At 36.4% G+C, this 22,686-nt stretch overlaps 1 protein-coding gene across 2 annotated transcripts in view; it reads left to right on the forward strand.

Moving 5' to 3' along the window:
• Positions 1–22,686, forward strand: part of TMEM170B (transmembrane protein 170B) — a 45,776-nt gene that overhangs the window by 14,988 nt on the left and 8,102 nt on the right. For both annotated transcript variants that reach the window (XR_007059185.1, NM_001100829.3), the window contains exon 2: positions 12,930–13,100. Coding sequence is in view for 1 of the 2 variants with exons in the window: in NM_001100829.3 (NP_001094299.1) it covers positions 12,930–13,100 (171 nt within the window). In the remaining variant the exon portion in view is untranslated. The remainder of the gene's footprint in view (positions 1–12,929; positions 13,101–22,686) is intronic.

Below are 22,686 nucleotides of genomic sequence, written 5' to 3' on the forward strand. Positions count from 1 at the left end.
GTTTTAGCATTAAAATGAGGTAGAATTTGACTGTGTCAGAAGGTGAACTATGGGATGCAAAGGCAGTCTGTGCACAGTCTCTATGGTATAGTATGACTGGTAGAGACTGGCTTAAGGTCTACAATTGCTTATCAGAAAAGAACGTTTATAAGGCTGGTCCTGTGTCTAATCAGAGTTGTGGTCTGGGTTGTAAATCAGTAAGGGGTGGTCTGATAGCTCCTATTGTCAGGGAGTTTAGAGCCATAGGACTTTAGAAATTCGCCATGCCGCCTGGGCCCTGAACCCTTGACCTGTAGGTAACTTTGCTTCCTTAATCTTAGTTTCGGTCTTAGTTGATAAAGAGGTGTCTATTTTGATCTCAAAGTATATATGGGGGATTGATTCTAGGACCGCTGCATATACCAAAATCCTGCAGTGGCCCTGCAGAACCCATGTATGTGAAAAGTCGAACCTCCCTGTAGGTGGGTTTTGCATCCTTAGAATATTTTTGCTCCATGTTTAATTGAAAAACAAAAATCCACATGTATGTTGGACCCATGCACTGCAAACCTGCATTGTTCAAGGGTCTACTGTATCTTAAAAATTCTAAACATTTTAGTTATATTAAATCTGAAGTATATAGGAGAATCAAACATTAAAAATGTTTATGTAAATATGTTAGGTGAGCAGCTATTGGAATTTCCACCTCCCTTCTTGGATAATTGGGGTTCTGCTAAATTTTTTTCTAAAAATAAAGATTTGAAAGAAGTAATAGGATCCTTGAATGTATGAGTCAAAAAATTTTTTAGCCTCAACTTCTACTAGCTAGTTTTTTTTACTTTAGACAAGTCATGTATTTCCCAGGCCTGTTTCCTCACTTATAATACTATCTAATGTAAATAGTTTTCATATTGATTAAGGGAGAGCTGATCTAGAAATTTTATGAGTTAAGAAAAGTTTAGAGGTTTTACTAGGATTTAAGAAAAAATGTATGCATTTGCACATAAACTTGTTTCTTTAATCTTTCAAGTTAAGCAACTTTCTTTTTCAAGTGGGACTTCTTCAGACTTTTAATATACTTATTTGTAGAGTAAGGTTTAGAACCAAGAAAATCTTTGCTCTCTGCACACCTCTGACCTCTTAGACTTAGGCCTTCTTGAAATTTGGTTTAGGAAACTTGATTCAGTATTTAAAGATTCCTTCCAGTTATGAAATTATCTCTCTCTCTCTTTTAATCCCAGTACAGCATAATTACTTCCTTACAGTTAGTCTGAATGCTATTTAAGGTGTGATTACCGTGACTTGACTTTGCATTATTTGCAGTTTCCCTGGTTATGCTTGTATTTCCTGATCGGTCATTCCTTTGGTTACCTATTTATATTTAGTTTCAGGAATGTATTATATTGAGAATTTCATTACAAGTTATGCTCGTTGGTGTAAAAAGTTTAATTTTCAGTATTTAGTATAAATATCCCATGGAAATGTTATATTATGAGATTGTAAAACATTTTATCCTTCATGGAGAAGGTTTTTTTAGGTTGGTGATTCAAACAAACATGAATCAAAAAATGTTTTTTTGTATGATACATACAATTTAAGATACTTGAGGGCACACAATAACAATTAAAACCATTGTATGGTTACTGTTATAATTTCATACTAGATTCAGATTTTGACATTTAATCCTTACACTTTTTATCTGAGTAAAAATCACTGGAATTATAATTGATTAATTACTCAGTTAATCAGTTATGGGGAAGAACAAATTGAATGGCATCTTTTAGGAAGACAGTGCTGTGGCTTAAATATAGAGCAATTTTTGAACTATTTTAAATAGCCTTAACCTGATTTCTTTAAAGCAAATGATATTTTGATTGGTTTTAATTAAAAACCTGTTTTTCTAAGAATTGTCTTCTGTTTAATTATGGGTATTGTTATTTACAGTTTGAAATTATATAATTAGCAAGCAAAAGGGTAATTTGGTTTAAGTGGCTAATAAACAGTATTGCCATGAATTTTAAGATGGGCACTATGTTAAAGCAGCTCTTGAAGGTGTCACAATTAAGTTTAAAAGATAATGTTTCTGCTCTCTCTTAAGAGGCAAAAGTAGGAAACTATTAAGTATCTACAGTAGCTTTAACTTATGTATTAAATGTGGTTGCCAGTTGATAAATACAATTTATTTTTAAGTCTGGTTGAAATGTTAGCGTGATTAAAAATAAGAAGAAAATGTCTTTTATGTTTACCTTCATTTTAGCCTCCTTTGTTGATTATTTCTTGGTGTAAAGTTTGCATCTGGTATCATAATCCTGTCTAAGGAGCTTCCTTCAATATATTTTGTAGCATAGATCTTCTGGCAGTTGATTCTCTGAGCTTTTTTCTTTCTGACAAATAAATGTTCATTTCACCTTTAGTTTTGAAAGACATTTCTGTTGAATATAGATTTCTGTCTTTATAGTTTTTTTTTCCCCTTTCAGTATTTTAAAGATGTCACTCTATTGTCTTCTGGCTCGGAAATTTCTGATAAGAAGTTTCCTTTACTTTTTATATTTGTTCCACTGTTTGTAATATGTCTTTTAACCTCTGACTACCCTCAGTATTTTCCCTTTATCTTTGGTTTTCACGCATTTCACTATGATGTGTCTAGGTATGTGTGTGCGTGGTTTATTTTTGTTTTGTTGTTTTTTGGTTCTTGGAAGTGGGAGGTATTTATCTTAGGATTCTGTGAGAGTCTTGGATTTGTGGTTTGATGACTTTTATTATTTTTGAAAAATTTTCAGCATCTTTCCCTTCAAATATCTTTTCTTCTCCATTGTCTCTTTCTTATTCTGGACTCCAATTACATATATGTTAAACCATTTGAAATTGTGCCATATCTTTTTTTCTAAACTTCTAGCATTTTCATTTGGCTCTCAGAATTTCCATCTCTACTGAAATTCCCAATCTGTTCATGTGTGTTGTCTGCTTCTTCCACTAGAGACTTTAACATATTAACAATAATTATTATAAAGTCTCTGTCTGGTTATTCTACAAACTGGGCCATCTCTGACTCTGGTTCTGTAGATTGCTTTATCTCTCAACAGTGAGTTGTTTTTCCTGTTTTTGAGTGCTTCTTTTAATTTTTTGATTGAAAAAGTCTCACTAAAGACTGAGGTACAAGGCCGGGCGCGGTGGCTCACGCCTGTAATCCCAGCACTTTGGGAGGCCGAGGCGGGCGGATCACGAGGTCAGGAGATCGAGACCATCCTGGCTAACACGGTGAAACCCCGTCTCTACTAAAAATACAAAAAATTAGCCGGGCGTGGTGGCGGGCGCCTGTAGTCCCAGCTACTCGGGAGGCTGAGGCAGGAGAATGGCGTGAACCCGGGAGGCGGAGCTTGCAGTGAGCCGAGATCGCGCCACTGCACTCCAGCCTGGGCGACAGAGCGAGACTCCGTCTCAAAAAAAAAAAAAAAAAAAAAAAAAAGACTGAGGTACATCGTGTTTATGTCTGGAGATGGTCTGTTGCTTCCGTTAGACCAATAGTGAGAATTGATTTAATCTACTTAGGAGTTGAGCTGAATTTGAATTTTGTTGTTGTGGTTACCTTCAGTGCACTGCACGCTTCACATTCTGTAAGGTTGCTGTTGTTGCCTTGTGCTTAGGGTGGGAGCTCTGTACTGCAGGGTTATTCTCAGTGGCAATGCTCCATTGTAGCTTTTAGCCATTTCTTCACAACTATGCCTCAAAAGGGGTCTCTCTCCACACACTAGCCTCCCCCCAGTGGTGGAATGCTGATGCTTGTTACTTGCTGCTAGGCTCCTGAGGGGAGCTGTCCTGTTTCTGTGTTAGGCATGCTCTGTGTATGGGGATCTCAGGAGGTGGGGCTTTGTCAGCATTCCTGCCTTTCTGAACCATGGTGGCCAAACTCTTCTTACATTTGTGATTGTTCTTAGGAGTTTCTCGTCCTTCCATCGGCAGTAACAGACCTCTGCTTGGAATTGGGTCCTGGGTCCTGGATGGTTTTCTGCTTCTCTCCCAGGAATAGAGGTTTTATTCTTCTACCCTTCCCTAAACTGGAGTTCTACTAGAGCTTTGCCTGTCCCTTTAGGGTGACAGGATTTGCTGCCCTCCCCTAATGGCTAAGGGTTTTGCCTTGAATAAGAGAAGGGTCGCAAGAAACAAGATTTCTGTGTTTCCCTAGCAGTCACCTCCCGCAGGCCTATACCACCAGTGGTGGCTCTCTCCAGTCTCCAGCCTATGATCCAGTCTTTCCAGGGAGCACTCAGTAGAGACCTGTGGAAAAGCACTTGCAAGCGAGTGTGCATTTGTGTCTGTCACTTGTGTCATTTACTCAAGGTTGATATGTTAACCCATGCTTGGTCTTTAACAATCTGTAAAAATTGTAGCTGATTTCTTCTTACCCACTTGTATGTTGCCCACTGCCTGCTCTTGTGCTTTACCAGGTAACACATGTCCCCCACTCCTTGCTTTGCATCCTCACCTCACTAATGAGCTAAGGAAAAGTTACGATTGTATAATTTTATCTTTTTCTCATTGGATGGGAGTGACATTTTTTGCAAATTTTTATATTAAAATTTAAATAGAATAACTGAACTGTTTTAGTAAGCATAGATTTTAAATTCTACAAAATCATGCATTTAGGAAAAAATTGGGGACACTACAAACCTGAAATGAATGCATGCTGGGCTTAATACCTAGGTGATGGGTTGTTGGGTGTAGCAAACCACCATGGCACACATTTACCTATGTAGCAAACATGCATATCCTGCACATGCACCCCAGAAATTAAAAAAAAGGAAATAAAATAATTTAAAAAAAGAAATTTAGATATTTTTAGAACATGGTCAGTAATGTAATTGTGCAGGTAATCTTCACATTTTTGTACTTGGTATTTTCCTACTTTTAGTTTCTTTACTGCTTGCTTCTCACCAGTGTTTGAACAGTATGGTAGATGGACTAAACGTACTTTTTTATACTCCCAAACCTAATGGAATTATCATTTATCCAGTTGTTCACACCAGAAATCTGGGAGGCCAGACATCACACCTCGCTCATCTCTATCATCCAGGCCATCCGCAAGTTCTCCTAAATATTTCTCAAATTATTTTCAATCACAAAGCCAGTACAAAAATCCAGGCCTTAATTTATCTTTGTACTCTTTAAAATGGTTATTATTTATTCATTTATTATCATTACTATTTTTTTTAAAGTGACAGGGTCTCACTCCATTGCCCAGGCTGGAGTGCAGTGGCACAATCATAGCTCACTGCAGCCTCAAACTGCTGGGCTCAAGCGATCCTCCTGCCTCAGCCTCCTGAGTAGCTGGGACTATGGGCTTATGCCACCACACCTGACCAATCTCTTTGTACTCTTGAAATATTCTTATAGTCTCTCATCTCCATCCATTCCCACTTTTCCATATCTACCACAGTAATCTTTTTAAAAGGAGATATGATTCTATAACTTCTTTATTTAAAGTTTTTATTGGGTCCCCATAATCTTCAATTTTCACAAAAATTCTTCATTCTATATGGTCTATGAGCCTCTCCCCTTTCTTCACCAAAAATTACTCTGACTCTAACATACCACTGTAATTTACAGCCTCATCTTACCATATTTTTTGGTTTTAGTCAAACCCAGAATTCTTGCAATTTCATATTCTCTATTATATACAATTTCATGATTTGAACATTGTGTTTTAGAGCAGTGGTTTCTCATTCTTGGCTGTATGGGAACATAAGAAACGTTTAAATTTGGGCAACTTTAAAAAATTCCAGTGCCCAAGCTACATCGTAAACCAATTAAATCAGAATGTCTGGGGGTGGTATCAAGGCATCATCATTTATTTTAGGCTCTCCCAGGTGACTCCAGCATACAGCCAAGTCCCACCTCCCACTCCCCACTCTTATCGCACCTCCAACATGATTATCTAATTTGTTTAAATCTTGTTAATTTTTTAAAAATTCACGTGTGGCGATGACTCTTCTTGGGACCTTTCTTGACAACCCACACCCTTGCCACAGGGCTGTGTACCCCATAGCATCACGTACATACTGTACTCTGCAGAAACTGAGGAATTAGAACATATGTAATTGAAATGTCATTAATTGAACACTCAAAGTGCCAACTCTTGATAATATGTGAAACTACCTTGACTATAATTTTCAATGGGGGATGGGACAGCCAAGCCCAGCCCAGAAGTCAGCAGACATTTTCTGTAAATACAGTATTCTACTTTTAGCAATAGTATTTTATTTTACTTAAATAGAAAATGTAGTAAATATTAATATTTTTGGCTTCATGGGCCATATAATCTCTGTCTCAATTACTCAGCTCTGCCATTGTAGCTTGAAAGTAGTCATAGACTACTATGAATGAGTTTGTTCCAATAAAACTTTATGAACACTGAAATTTGAGTTTCCTATGATTTTTACATGTCACAAATTATTGTTCTTTATATATTTTTTTCTTTTCTTTTCTTTTTTTTTTTTTTGAGACGGGGTTTCACTCTGTCACCCAGGCTGGGGTGTGGTAGCATGATCATGGGTGACTGCTGCAGCCTTGACCTCCTGGGCTCAAGTGATTCTCCCGTCTCAGCCTCCTGGGTAGTGAGGGACCACAGGAATGCACAACCATGCCTGGCTAATTTTTTAATTTTTTGTAGAGACAGGGCCTCATGCTGGTCTTGAACTCCTGGGCTCAAACAGTCCCCCTGAGTCAGTCTCCCAAACTGCTGGGATTACAGGCATGAGCTACTGTGCCCAGCTTCTTGATTTTAAAAAATCATTTCAAAATCTAAAAACCATTCACGAAGACTATACAGAGACAGGTGGTAAACTAGATGTGACTCATGGGCTATATTTTGCCGACCCTTGATCTGTATAGCACTTTTCCAAATTATAAATGTATCATCTCTCTGAGAGTCTAGTAAGTCCCCTATGTGGGACATGTCCCCAAATTCAGAAGTCATTGCTGTTAGAAAATGGGTGCAAGTTCTACACTTCAGATTTGTTGGTATAATAAAAAGCTTGAAATAACCCAATTTGGACACAGATTATTTAAATATGTAATATGGACCATTTCTATAAAGAAGGTGATGGTATAAAGAAAGAAAAAATATATATATAAAATATATAAATGGTATTTTCAGCTTGATTTCTAGAATGTTTAGTGCATAGTAAGTTTTCAGTATTGACTTGCTAATGACTTTTAATAGAGAGGTTGGGTTCTCTGTATTTTTGAGGATTAAAAAAATAGTCTAATGAGATAGGTTTTGTTGTTTTAATGACTTTCGGAGTTTTAAATAAATACCTCTTATGTAACTTTATCCTAGAGTAGTGATTTCTGTCTCTACTGCATACCCAGTATGCAGTAATTCTCATGAGCAGCTCAAGTTGAGAACCATTGATCTAGCAGAGCATCTTCTCCTTTATTTTTATTTTTTTATTTTTTATTTTTTATTTTTTGAGACAGTCTTGCTGTGTCGCCCAGGCTGGAGTGCAGTGGCGTGGTCTTTGCTCACTGCAAGCTCCACCTCCTGGGTTCACACCATTCTCCTGCCTCAGCCTTCCGACTAGCTGGGACTACAGGTGCCCGCCACCACGCCCAGCTATTTTTTTTTTTTTTTTAATTTTTAGTAGAGATGGGGTTTCGCCATGTTAGCCAGGATGGTCTCGATCTCCTGACCTCATGATCCACCTGCCTCAGCCTCCCAAATCTTCTCCTTTGATAAAGAATAGAATGAGAGCCAGGCATAGTTGTACATGCCTGTAGTAGCAGCTACTCAGGAGACTGAGGCAGGAGAATCGTTTGAGCCCAGGAGTTTGAGTCCAGCCTGGGCAGCATAGCAAGACTGCTATCTCTTAAAAAAAAAAAAAAAAATGAAAAACTAATTTCTAAAAATATTATATTTGCAGTAAAAATGTGTGTAAAATATTTCAGACCAGTTTAAAATAGTAAAGAATGTATAAAATGATATCATTCATCTCATATCTTATCTCTAAAAGCCATTGTTAGGTCTTCTTCCATTTGGTTATATGTTTTCTATACAGATATGAAAATGTACTTTTTTAAACAAATAGGATTATACAATATGTACCATTCTTTGACTTGTTTTTACTCAGTATTTTTTAGACATCTAGAGAAATTCATTTCTCATAAATAATGTTGTTGAAGGATTAAAAACAAAAGCACAGAAGATAATTTTTTAGTGGCTTGGCAACCAGAGCTGATGAAAGTTACAGATTGGGAGCAGAGCTATTTCTAGTATTGTTTGGAGGCTGGAACAGATCATAACTCTGCTGCCTTTTACCCCACCAAAAAGTAACACACTGCAACAATCCAGGCAAAATTAAGGTGAGGATTATAGACAGTCTTGAGTGGGGAAATGTTACCAAAGGAATTTCTGAGATACGTTCTGGAAGAAGGGATATTCCCTTCCAGAGAATTATGGTGATTATAGGCATGAGATGCTTCAAAGTTTCTGTTGTTTTTTTGTATTACATTTTTAAAATGTTTGTTTTGTATTTTTTCAGCACTAGCAAAAGTCTCTCTGGCTTCCTCCCTTCATTGTTACCCAATTGCTAGAAGCTTGGATGAGGTGGGGTATGAGTGGAGAGAGAAAACTGTGAGCCTCTGGGTGTTCACTTTAGCATAGACAGTTTAAGAAAAGGCTGTGATATTCCACTCCTGTCTTTTTACTAGGTGTTCTTCCTAGGACCTTGGGCATCTGCTTTTGCTCTAGTCCTTAGGATCCTGCGGTTCTCTTCACCTGAACTAATCCAGTAGGTTTCATGTATTTGCCGATAGTGATTGGGCCTTAGACTTTAAGTCTTGCTTATCCAGAGTTGATCAAAATCTTTAGGGTCCCTGTTCACTCATGAGGTTATGTTGATCTGTCAGGTAATTCAAAATAATAGTAATAACACAAAACCTAACATAACTGTTAGGTTATGTTTTCTATCATTTTTTCCATCATAAAGAGTATGATTTTTTAAAAGAGAGAAAGAAATATAAAAGTAAATCTGACATTAGGGTACTTTGTTCATGTTCAGTCTGATGAAGGAATAATCCTGGACTGGTCATTGGAAGACCATTTGAAATTCTATTTTAATTTTATGATTATTTTGATACCTTTGGTTTTTATAAAACATTAAACTGAAATTTTACTTTGCCTTCTATTAGGTAGATTTATTGTTGAGATCATAGCTACATATTCAGTAGTCAAACAACACTACTTTTTTATAATGTCAGATAATTTCCTGTTCACAGTGTTAAATATAGTCAATAAATAAATTATTTCCTCTAATTGTATTATAAGAACTTTTTTAAATGGGCGTGAGGTACAAGGCGGATTGTTGACTTTTGTATTGAAGAGCCTGTGGTTGTTGCAGAGCCTTTCCTTGTCTCAGGGTAAGTTGAGAAAAGAGCTCCCTTGATGAAAATATACACCCCCATATTCTACTCCCTTATATTCTCACTTTATTAGGTTCACTTAGGAAAACTGTATCTTTCAATATGCAAATATCTGCTGAGCAAGTTGGGGTTTTTAAATTTTAATGTATTTATTATAAATTGAAGCCATTTGTTTGAGAGTAATGATCTGAAATACTGTTTCCCTGAATGCTGGAAGAGAAAAGCCTCTAAAAGGCAAGTTTTGTCTATATTTCCGTAATCACTAGCATCTATCTTGTATGCCATTGAGAAGCATGCATGGTAGTTTAACACACACTGTAAAATATATCAGATGTATCTTCTTTGAAATAATTTCAAATTGCATGAGTCCATTCTACGTGCCAGTTCTTAAGAATTTGGCAGGGTAAAGCTGATTTTAAAAAAATCTTTCTATTCTTTCGTTTTTTAAGATTAAACTTTTATTTTGAGATTATAAGAATCACAGTTGTAAGAACCAATACATAGAGAGCTTATGTACCCTTTATCCAGTTTACCCAATAGGAACATCTCAGAAATCCACAGTATAATATATCAACCAGGATATTAACATTGATGCAATCCACCAACCTTATCCAGATTTTGCTAGTATTTCTTCTACACTTGTACTCTTCTCTATTGTGTATTTAGTTCTATACAATTGTATCACTTACATGTATATCCACCACTATAGTCAAAGAAGAAATCCATTACCACAAAGATCACTCATGTTGCTTTTTAATAACCATACCCTCCTTCCTTTTTAAGGAGTTTTTGTTTCGTTTTAAAATTCTTAGTCATTTATGGTCTTGACCTAAGTATTTTTCAAATTTATATCATGCTTTTAAATTTTTTACTTTTTAAAAAAAATTGGTAAAAACATAACTGATGAAGCATACTCGCTGTTGACTGGGGGCAGTGGCTCACGCCTGTAATCCTAGCACTTTGAGAGGCCAAGGTGGGCAGATCACCTGAGGTCGGGAGTTTGAGACAGCCTGACCAACACAGAGAAACCCCATCTCTACTAAAAATACAAAAATTAGCCAGGCATGGTGACGGGCACCTGTAATCCCAGCTACTTGGGAGGCTGAGGCAGGAGAATCGCTTGAACCTGGGAGGTGGAGGTTGCAGTGAGCTGAGGTTACTCCACACCAGGCCCCCCTCCCCGCCAAGAAAAGGCACTCACTGTTTTCTCCTCCCTCACACAGATCACTTCTGTGACAAGTGATGTGTGGTTTTTTTCCCACACCAAGCAGTTCTCTAGGATACCAACTGGGTGTCCTACAGTTCAGTTCAGTTCTGACATTTACCTGGTGTTAGCATCCAGTCCCGCAGGTTAAAGGCACAGTCCCAGAAACGACTCCCATTTAGACACCAGTAGAAAGTCTGCGCTTCCCATATTTGTGACTGACTGTAAGTCGGGGGTTCCCATTGACCCCTCCTCAGGTTTCATCATTTGCTAGAACAGCTCATAGAACGCAAGGAAACACTTCACTGGTTATGGTTACTGGTTGATTTTAAAGGTTACAACTTGAGGCCAGGTGTGGTGGTTCTCGCCTGTAATCCCAGCACTTTGGGAAGTTGAGGCAGGAGAATTACTTGAGGCCAGGGGTTCTAGACCAGTCTGGGCAGCACAGGCAGATCCTGTCTCTACAAAAAATATTTTTTAAAAACTAGCCAGGCGTGGTGGCCCACATGTGTAGTTGTAGCTACTGGGAAGACTGAGGCAGGAGGATCACTTGATCCCAGGAGATGGAGGCTGCAGTGAGCTGTGGTCACGCCACTGCACTCCAGCCTGGGTGATGGAGCAAGACTCTGCCTTAAAAAAAAACAACAAAATCATATGGTATTCATTTGTGATGATTTATTTCACTTAGCATAATGTCCACAAGGTTCATTCCTGTTGTAGCATGTGATAAGATTTCCTTCCTTCCCTTTTAAAACTGAGTAATTTTTCCGTTGTATGTGTACCATGTTTTATTTATCCATTCAGGGACTCTTGAGTTGCTATCACCTCTTGGCTATTGTGAATAATACTGATAAACATGGGTGTGCCAATATCTCTTTGAGATTCTGCTTTTAGTTCTTTTGGGTATATACCCAGAAAGTGGAATTGTTGGATCATATGGTAGTTTTGTTTTTAACTTCTTGAGGAGCCTCCATACTATTTTCCACAGCAGCTGCATCATTTTACATTCCTACCAACAGTAAATATCTATGTTTAATGATATTTGGATACATAGGTTTTGATTCATCCATTTTAATTCTTTAATGACTATTTTATTGACTTTTCTTTTACAATTGATAGTGACTACCTAGCCCAAATCACAGATGAGATACTTTGTATTATAGAATGTTTGCATATCAAGGATGATCCTCAAGGTGACATCTAAATATTTTAGAGTCAGCTCTTTCAGGTATAAGTGAGAGAATCCTTATCTGAATAGTTTAAGTAAAAAGAGGGATTTTATTAAATGGGAACTGGGATGTGACATTGAATCTAAGGATGGTAATGAGTCAGGCCTTAGAAATAACTCATTAAGGGACTTGATTCTCTCTTGTCTTTGATGGATCTTTTTCCTTCTTGTACTGTGGCTTTCATCATGCGACGATGAAGTAGCTTCACAAATCTTGAGCCTTTCTGCTTCAGCTACCCAAAGAGCAAGGACACTCAGTTGGTCCCAATCCAGAAGTCCCAGGGGAAGGGAACGATTGGCCCAGCTTGGATCGATTGCCTTTCTTTCCACCCTCACTACAGTATGGTCAGGGAGAAGGAGTCAGTGCAAGGACATCTGTGGGAACTATATGGAGTGACTGGGAGGCAGTCGGGTGGCCAGAAGGAAAGGGAATGAATGTGAGACAGAGAATGAAGAGTGTGCTTGTCCACTGTCTCTTAAGCTGAGATGTCAGTGAACAGTCGATTGAGGTCACAGTGGGGAGATAATATTGGAGCTTGAAAAGTTCTGGATAAGGAACACTAAGATGACTAGAGGCAAATAATTTATCTGACTGATTTTTTAGTATACCAAGTTCAGGGCCACAAGGAGAAAATGACTGAAATTCTTAAAGATAAAAGGTAAAAATCATTGACTGATTTCTGGAATGATTTGAATTAGAATTACAAGGTAGTTAAAAACATTCTTAACACTGCTATTTAGGGTAGAAAATAAAAAATTCTATTTCAAACAGTAATTTTATAATTCTAAGAAGTTTACAAATATATCAGGGGTTTAATATAAAATTGATGGATGATAGCTATGTAATAGGGGCATTTAGAAGAAATTAGAGTATAGTGTTAACCTTTTGAAGCCATGGAAGGAATTATTTCCCCATCAGGCATCAGCGATGATGATAAAACTTATAATGTATTCAGTGCTACTTGTGTCAGGCACTGTGTGAAGCATTTTTCTATGTATTATGTCATTTAACCTCCCAAACCATAGGTGCTCACTGTTTGTTAAATTGAATTTTCTAAGTTGTGTTTCAACAGATGATTAATACTTTGCTTTTCCTTTCAGAGATGTGGTACTGGATCTTCCTCTGGGCTCTCTTCTCTTCTCTGTTTGTCCATGGTGCTGCAGGAGTGTTGATGTTTGTGATGCTGCAGAGGCATAGGCAGGGAAGAGTCATCTCTGTCATTGCAGTCAGCATTGGATTTCTGGCTTCTGTAACTGGAGCGATGATTACCAGTAAGTTGATTTTCTTTTGTCTGAGGATGTAAGTTTGTATACACTTACCATTTTGGTAGCTGTGTTCTTATTATACATGTAACATTAGTGAGATCTTTTATGTAGATTATTTTTCAACACTTAACACACTCCATCTAGAAGATAAAGATGAGCTGATTTATTCATTGAACAGACAAGTCGTTGTAATTCTGCTGTGTGAAGAGTCCTTTTACAAGGTTTTGAGGGAAATAGAAAAATTCATAAAAATTGGCAAGAGGCAAGGCAGGTCAATGGGAAAATTCACAGTGATTATAGTTTCTGCTTTCAAGTTGCTCATTTTCTAGGAAAAAACAAAGGCATAAAAATATGTCAGTGATAATTATCATAAGCAAAAGTATAGCCCTGAGGTCCTTAATGTCATCTGCCTGTGACTACAAAATAAAATTGCACTTTCTTCTTATATACACATTATTATGGCCTACTAGAAATGAGCTGTGCTAGAGTGTCTTCTAGTGCTTTGCAGGTTTCCTGCTGTGCTGCCTCATGAGCTTTTTTCAGACAAGTTTTCAGGTTCATTCCCTCTGGACTTCTCTGTTTAACACTGTACTTAGGCCCAAACTCCAGCCTTGACTTCAAAGAATTAGTTTATGGTTTTGTTATCAGCAGAAGGTATCCAAGTTACCAGCAGCAAATCCATACAGGTCTGCAGCAGCCTCAGTTCTTACCTCCTCAGAAGAAATAATTCGACTGAGGGGTGTAAGACAGAAAAAGACACCAAGGCAAGCTTCAGAGCAGGAGTGGAATTTAAAAGCTTTAGAGCAGGAAAGAAAGGAAAGTACACTTGGAAGAGACACAAATGGGCACTTTGGAGGTCAAGTGCCCCATTTAACCTTGGTGCTATGACTTGCTGGCCCATTTCCAGTGTCTTGCACCCCTTTTCCTTCATTCTTCCTTTAGGGTGAGCCACCCGCATGCGCGGTGTCCTCTTTACACTTGGGAGGCGAGCATGCGCAGTGTGTTTAAGAAGTTGTATTCATGCTCATCTGAGGCTTTCTTCCGTTTTCCGGTGGAATGCCCCCAAAGGTCATACTCCACCATTTTGTTTTAATGCACATGCTTGAGCCCACTTACGCATTTCCTGAGATTTTATTGGAAGCTACTGGTTACCAATTTCAAGTGTTTTTATCCATTGGGAAATTGCCTCTCCCTGGTGCCTGTGACCAATTATCATTTTAGTGTGACAACTGCCGGACCATCACCTGATGGTCACCTGACATTCCTGGTGGGTGGGGGCAGCCCTCTCCTGCCCCACTCCTGACAACCTACCTATTGTAACAATTTCTGCAGCCACTGGTTGAGCAGAGCTTAGGTGTGTACCCTGTTGAGACTGGAGCGTGCCACATCTACTTGCTTAGTGTGGTTGTGCCAGGAACCGGGTGCCTCTCTGAGCTGCTGTTGATTCTGTGACTGCCAATGCAGAGTACATGTGTCTGTTGCCCTTCACGTCTGGCCTATTCCCATATGTCAGGGGCAGCTCACTGCTACCACTGGATCTGTTTTGGGACTCTCTGACAGTTTCTTCTTCCTTTCTAGTTGATTCTTGCCTCAGAGATAAGAAGGCAACCTTGTCTTTATGATGCAAGGGATTCCCTTCTTTACCCTTTCCAGAGTGATTGACATCCTTTGTCTTGAGAGGAAAGCCCTACTCCCATGTTCCTGGGTATGTCCTATGGCACTAATAAGACAACCATAAAATACTTGTGGGAAATGGGGAGGAGTCTGTTTTCTTATCCTTCAATTGCTATTTTTTGTTATCTTGTGTTAAGTTTTTATAGTTGCTTTTGTTGTTTCTGCATTCAACCTATAATTTGATGATATGGATGGTACCTCATATGCTTTGTCATAGACGGGGTTTTAAACAGGTACTCAGGTTTAGCTAAAGCACATGGTCTGCTTAATAGGAGTAGTACCAGATTCAGTAGGAAAGATAGAACCGAGCCAGATTCCAGAGGGCCTTGGAAAGCTATCTGGGAAGTTTGGGCTTTATTCTGCCGGCCATGGAAAACAAATGGATATTTTTGAATGCAGTTGGCAAGGGACAAGCAGTTCAGTGGGAAATTTTGTTTTATAGTTGAATATAGAATTAATGTAAAGAAGCAAGAGAAAACCCTGAAAGAGCAGAGACCTGGTCTGTCTTCATCACTGCTCGATCCCCAAAAATAAAACAGTACCTAGAACATAATGGATATGCAAAACATATAGGTTTGATGGATAGGAGTGAGAGAGGAAGAGAGGGAGGAAAGGAAAGAAAGAAGAGGGGATAGGGAGAGAGAATAAAGAGGAAGGAAGAGGAATTAAGAGGCATTAACTGTAATCTAAACTTGAGGCCAGGTTCTGAACTAGAGTAATGGCCGTAGGTTGGGAAGGAAGGAGTTAATGTAAGAACCATACAAAGGACAAAAAATCTAAATTAGTTATTCATTGTGGTGGCATACAAACAGATATGAAAGGGGCTGCCAGTAGTTTTTGACATGGCCACTGTTGTAATTGTGCAACCATGAACAGAGGGGGAAGGAAGAAGGAGCAGCTTGTTTGGAAGTTTAAATGGTATGTGTATATATATATATGTATTTATTTGCATATATTATTGCAAAAGTTTAAAGAGAGCATGAGAAATGGAATTCTTCCATTTATCTCTGATGATATGTGTGTATATATAACCCATTTTCAATTCAGTCAAGAATAAAGTAAGCCAGTGATTTTAGAAACTGCAGTGTTATATTTTTAAATCCTTAAAAATGTAAGTCTGACACAATTTCAAGTAAAAATTTGTGTCCATATTAGCAATAAAACATTTAATTTTTTTCTGGCTAATTATCTGACCTGCAAACAGGTGAATTAGGAAAACTAGCCAATGTGAATAGTGATATTTATTTTCTTAATACAAGTTGTGAATACTAGTGCACTCATAGCTGTATCTTCAGTTCAGTTATTGATTGCTAAATACCTATATTCAGTAAGATGCTGACTGAATATAGTTACATATTCATTATATTTTGCTACTTCTTAGATTTTATTTTGAAACTAGAGTGATTTTTCATATAGTGTTTTTAGTTAATACCAGAATTGGGAGAAACTGGTTTCTATATAATGTCTAATTTTAGCTGTTTAATTTTAGCCAGTCTAAAAGTGTAAAGTAAGTTCTCATTGTTGGTTTAATTTGCATTTCTGTGATTATTAGTGAATTTGAGCATCTCTTCTTATGTTTATTATATATTTAGGTTTTCTTTTTTACAGATTGCTTCTTTAAATTCTGTGGTTTTCTTTTGGTATTCTTGTTTCCTTTTTATTAGGTTACAGATATTTTTATATATTAGAGATATTGACCTCTTGTTGGTTTTGGACTTTGCAAATAATTTATCTCAGTCTTTTATCAGTTACCTTCATCCATGATATCATTTACGGAGCAGAAATCCTTAGTTTCGACATGATCAACTGAAAGGGTTTTTGTCTTATGGTTTATACTTAAAGATTTTATTAAAGAAGTTATCCTCCATTCCATTGCCAAAAGATATTCTGATATATTTTCTTCTATTAATTTTACAGTTTTTCCTTTTGTATTAAGGTCTTTAATTCACCTGTAGCAGGAAGTGGCAAACATTTTTGTAAAGGGCCAAGTAATAAATATTTTAGATTTCGCAGGCTAGTGGTCTCTGTCACATTATTCAGTTCTGCCAAGGTAGTGCAAAAGCAGCCATAGACATATGTAAATGAATGCTCATGGCCTGTTTCAGTAAAACGTTATTTCTATTTACAACAGAGGCATCGGGCATTCAGGCCATAATTTATCCTCCATATAGAGTCTACCTTTGTTTTAGGTATTAGATAGGATTCTATGTGTTTTTTTCCCCCACTGCCATATAGTAAATCAGTTTTTATCATGCCAAACACTAAAAAATTCATCATTTCCTTGTTGATTTGTAGTGCCACCTTTATTGTATATTACATTCTCAAAGTACAGGGATCTGTCTCTGAACTCTATTCTGATTCATTGGTCTTTTTATCTATTCTTGTAGAAAGGTCACTTTTTTTTTTTAATCCCAGTGGTTTTGTGGTATATCTTAATATCTGTCAGGAATAGGTCCCTCTTGTTACTTTCCTTTCTCAAAGTTAACAGCTGTTGATGGGCCTTTATTCTTTCATATAAATTTTAGACTATGTCTACTGGATCGCTCAAAAAGTATGATAATGATTTTTATTAGGATTTAACTGAATATAGAGGATAATTTGGGAAGAATTGCCATATTATATCACCCAAGAACATGTAGTGTAGCTCTATTTATTGAGATCATCTTTTACGTCTTTTATTAGAGTTTAAAAATGCTTTTCTCAATAGGAAGTTTGTATACTTTTTATGAAGTTAATTCCCAAACTCCTGTTATGGCTATTGTGCATGGATATCTTTTGATTACATTGTTTAGTTTTATTGGTGTGGAGAAATACTATTAAGCTTTGTAAGTCAGGTATATGAAAGATTAACAAAAAACTGGTTCTTTGGAGAGATAAGATGAATAGACTGCTGGCAAACTAAGAAAAAAGGGTTAAGGCAGAAGAGTAAAATACAGAGCATAATAGAAGAAATACTAAATCTCAATAATAAAGATAGAGAATTATAAAAATAAAATAGTTTTATGAACAGCTATACCTAAATATAAAATGTCAAAATTTGACATAAGGGGAAATAGAACATATGAATAGGAAAATAATTATTTTTGCCAATTGCAATATTAAAAACCCTTCTTCCAAAAAACTCCAGGCCCAAAGGGGTTTACAGGAGAATTCTACCAAACTTTCAAGAACAACTAGTTCATATTTGATCCAAGTTACTGCAGAAAATAGAAAGAATAAAAGCTGTGCACAGCTTGTTTGCAGAGGTCAGTGTAATCTTGTTGCTAAACAAGATGAGGGCTACACCAGAACCTTAGGAATTGCTATTCTTGGAATGCAAAGATAATTCAGTATCAGAAATGAGTGCAGCTGTATTTCAAGAAAACATTATTGATGGACACTAAAATCAGAATTTCATATAATTTTCATGTATCATGAAATGTTAATCTCTGGATTTTAAAAAATCACTTTAAAAATGTGAAAACTATTCTTAGCCTGCATGCTGTACAAAATAGGTGGGTGGGCCAGATTTGTGGATTGTAGTTTGCCAACCTCGATCTAACTATGCAAACTGATAGAATCAACACATTATCAAAACTAATTCTTGCCTTAACCTTGTTCTATTTTTTTTTCTGTTTTTCCACCCATAGCTCTTTGTGCCTCTTCACCCTTAACCTTTATCATATGCTTGCTTTTTTTTTTTTTTCTTTTTCCATTTTAGAGATAGAGTCTGGCTCTGCTGCCCAGGCTGGAATGCAGTGACACACTCATACCTTACTGTACCCTTGAACTTCTGAGCTCCAGTGATCCTCCCAACTCAGCCTCCTGAGTCGCTAGGACCACAGGCTATCATTTGCTTTCTGTCAGGAAATACACAGGGCAGATCACATCACTTTTCATTGGAATGCTCATCTGCAGGCACTTGATGTTGTGTATCAGTGTTTTCTGTCTGCTGATGACTCTCCTGTTCCCCTTCGTTCTTGTAGTTTTGTATATTTTACTCACCTTCAGATCATCTTGGCAGTATTGCTTTCTCCACTTCATTTGGGATCTTTCCTTATTTCTAATTGATCATGTTTGCCACTGTTGACAGTGGCAGATCCGCATGCGTTATTTATTTCAAGAACCCTATCCCACTTCTCTGCATGCCTGCATATATTAGCCTCATAAATCACCAAGAAAATAAAGATCTTAATGTACTCTTTCAACTAGCTGTTGTTCAGCAAGACACCCTAAGGAGAGTGAAAACTAAAGAACAAACTGGGGTAAGATATTTGTTAAAATAATATATAACTTCATATAATTGTAAAAAGATTAATATCTAGACTATATATTTTTTAAAAACCCTGTGACTCAAGTTATAAAAAGACAACCCGGTAGAAAAGTGAATAAAGGACTTAAGCATTTCATAGAAGTAGAAACCCTAATGGCTAATAATATGTGAAGAGAAACTCAATCACATTAATTGCCAAGGATTTGTAAATTAATCAGATAGATAATATCTCTTACCCACTAGATTGGCAAAAAAAATTAAAAAACAAAAAAGGATGTCACCTGCCTCTGAGGATATGGAGTAACTGAAATACACATTGGTACAGCTAATTTAGAAAAATAATTTGGCACTATCTAGTCAAGTTGAAAAGGCCCATACCATAGGGCTGAGCAGTTCTGGTTTTACCCGTGGGTCATGGAGAAACTCTTGACTGCATGTGTGTGCTAGGGGTCGTAGACAAGAACATTCACAGGAGCAGTGTTTGGGATTGTAAAGGACTGAAAACAAAGACATGTTGTTGGCCATAGAATGGATAAATAAATTGTGGTATATTCATACTTGGAATTCTGTATGGCAGTGAAAATGAATAAGTTATAGCTGCATACAAGGAATATAGTTATTTCCTACTATATTCCATAATATATTTATGCCCTGCTATTTTAAATCAAGAGTTTATTTAACTTTTTCATTGTATACCAATATTTTTATTTGATAAATAGGATTGAAAGATATCCTGGCATTTAAAATGAAATATCTTTCATATCCTGACATTTAAGATGAAAGTTTCTTGGAATTTTAGGGGTGTTTTAGGCAAGTTAGGTATAGAAGTTAAGTTAGAGTTTAAAAATTTTATTACGTGAGTAATATATGATTATATTCATTATGTAAAACTCAAAACATTATAGATAGAGCAAAGCCCCTTTTGACCAACACTCTCAAACTAGTGCTCTTCTCAGAAGTAAGCCCTATTTTCAGTTTGGTATGTATCCGCCAGATATTTGTTGATGCATTACATTCATTCATACATATTTACATACATACCGCATACATACACACATACATATGTATGTATGTACTAGTAGAGAATATGTATTGTTTTATGTTTTATTTTCTTTGTTACCTAAATGATATATCTAAGTTATTTTTATTTCAGTTCATACAAATCTATATTTTCCTTTTGAAATTGTATGGGTTCATGGTATGGACTTCATATAGTTTATCTCCAACTGATGGTGGACATTTGTTTTGTTTTTGTTTGATTACAGAAATGCTGTATTGATTGTGTGTGTTTATGCATGTATATATGTGTGTTTATATTCTAAATATTAATCATCAGTTTGTTTTGCATATAGCAAATATTTTTCCAGTCTGTTCATTGATGTGAAACCTTTATGGGTTTTACCCTTTTTTTGTGGTCTTAAGATCTCTTTTCCTAGGATCATAAACATAATTCTCTTACATTTTAAAGTTTAGATGTGTACTTTTGTTTTTAACATTTAGTTATTTAATCCATCTGAAATTTATTTTGGGGAATGGTGTGAAGCAGGGACCTAAATTTATTTTTTTGAAATGGCTACCAGTCATTCCAACACCATTTATTGAATGGTGAATCACTGATTGGAATTATCTTTATCCTTTACTACTATGACGACTACTAGCCAAAATTTGTTGAGTACATACTAGGATCGTCCACTGTTTTAAGCACTTGACAAGTGTCATCTCTTAATCTTCGTGCCCACCTATTTTACAGTGGAGGAAGCAAGGCATGGGAGGCTGTGATTGTCCAGTGTAACACAGTTGCTAAGTAGTGGAGCTTGGATTTTAATCCAGGAGCCTGGCTCTACAACCCATGCTCCTCACCTTATGTAAGCATGCAACGTTTGAATTGACACAGTTGTTTGCCATTTCGCAGGCAGCCTGAGCTAGTAATTGCTTCGATTTTCCCCTTGCTGTGGATCATGATTGAAAACTTAGTATCAGAGGGATGGAGGCTAAAATGTGGTTTTTAAAATGGAAGATAGTCATATAAATCTAGGATGAATCCAAAGAGAAAGAGTATTACTCTAGTTTATTTTAACATAATTTCTGATAACAAAGGTGTAGGATACTTAATATTTTTAAAGAATGTCATCTAATCCTAAAATTTGGATATGTGACCAATTATACAAGTGATTTCATTGTTTGGTTAAGTAAATGTTGGTGCTACTAGGAGTTTTGAGATGCTTATTAGCTACTTTATCATTCTCTGAATTCTTCGTTCTCATTTTCACTTAGTATAAATATGAAGTGATAGAATGATTTTGGGATTTATAGCCAGACTAACCTGGATTGAAAAATCCCGGCTCTTGTACTTGCTGTATTTCCTGGGGCTAGTAACTGAACCTCTCTGAACCTCTGTTTTTTTCATCTTTAAATTAGGTGATAATACTGAGGGGGTGGTATGATATTTAAATATGATAATATTTGTAAAGTTCCTGCAAAATACATAGTATATGGTAAGTACACTATTTTAATTTCCTTTTATTTTAAAACATGTATATGAAAGTCCTTGGCTTAGGTTAGTAATTTGCTTTTCCTGTTTACATCTCTTACAGAGCAATACAATAACTTTTATTTGGAAGATTTTGAGTGAAGTACAAATAATTAATCTTTAGCTAATTTTTTTCTAAGTTGACAAGTAAAAATTATATTCTAATTTTCATGAGTAGGTTTCCGTCTTAATTGTAATTGTCAATTCAGTATTTTCAGATAACTTCTCGTCTTTGTCTTATGTTCTTTTATCTAACCATTTTAGGATATATAGACAGTTTTTCTAGAAAAAGAGTTTTCAGGCCATCTCCATCTGTGGGATGGCATATTATAATTTAAATGTTTCCTCCTTTATGGTTCCTAAATGTACTTTTAAAGTTAGCCGCTTAGATACCACATCATTATGGATGGTCTGTGAAGATCAGATGTTGAATCAGATGAGCACTGAGGTTCCTCATACACTGAGATTCTCCCGTTCTCAGAAGTGTACATTACCTAAGGAACCTCACTAGAATAGATGTCAGGTTCATTTTCCATTCTTATTAGACGTCAAGATACTAGTCTCCAAATAACTTAGAGTCGGATGGTTTATTTAAAAAGCAAGAACTATTTTGTATGGTAGATTGTGAGATGGATTAGTCAGGTATTATATTTTACATGATATTTAAGAATTCATATTATTCAGAAAAGATACCTTTAATATTAAAATATTTATTAATAATTTAGAAATTACATTAAATTATGTTATTTTTCTGCATTATCACTTGTAATTATCAGTATGTTATACTGTATGTTTACAAAAATGCTAAAGAGGTCTAGTTAATTGAATGCCCAGGTGAGAGGTTGCAATAATGAATTATTCATTGTTTATGAACATATTTGCTATCAAGTATGCAGCATATACCATAAATATATATCTTTTGGTTGAATAGAAAAGTCTGTTTTTCAAATAAGTGGCTAAGTGTATTATGGTAAGTTGTAACTTTCACCAATCACAGGGAAACTTTTTCATAGAAAGTGGATAAAATGAGAAAAAAATGATGACTTATGTTTTGATGAAATGAAAAGAGCTCTTAAGGTGCAGCATGCAGTGTGTTATAAAACGAGTGACTGTATCCCTTCATTTTTCTCCCGTTT

The sequence above is a fragment of the Homo sapiens genome, chromosome 6 (assembly GCF_000001405.40).
Source record: "Homo sapiens chromosome 6, GRCh38.p14 Primary Assembly".
Lineage (NCBI taxonomy): Eukaryota > Metazoa > Chordata > Mammalia > Primates > Hominidae > Homo > Homo sapiens.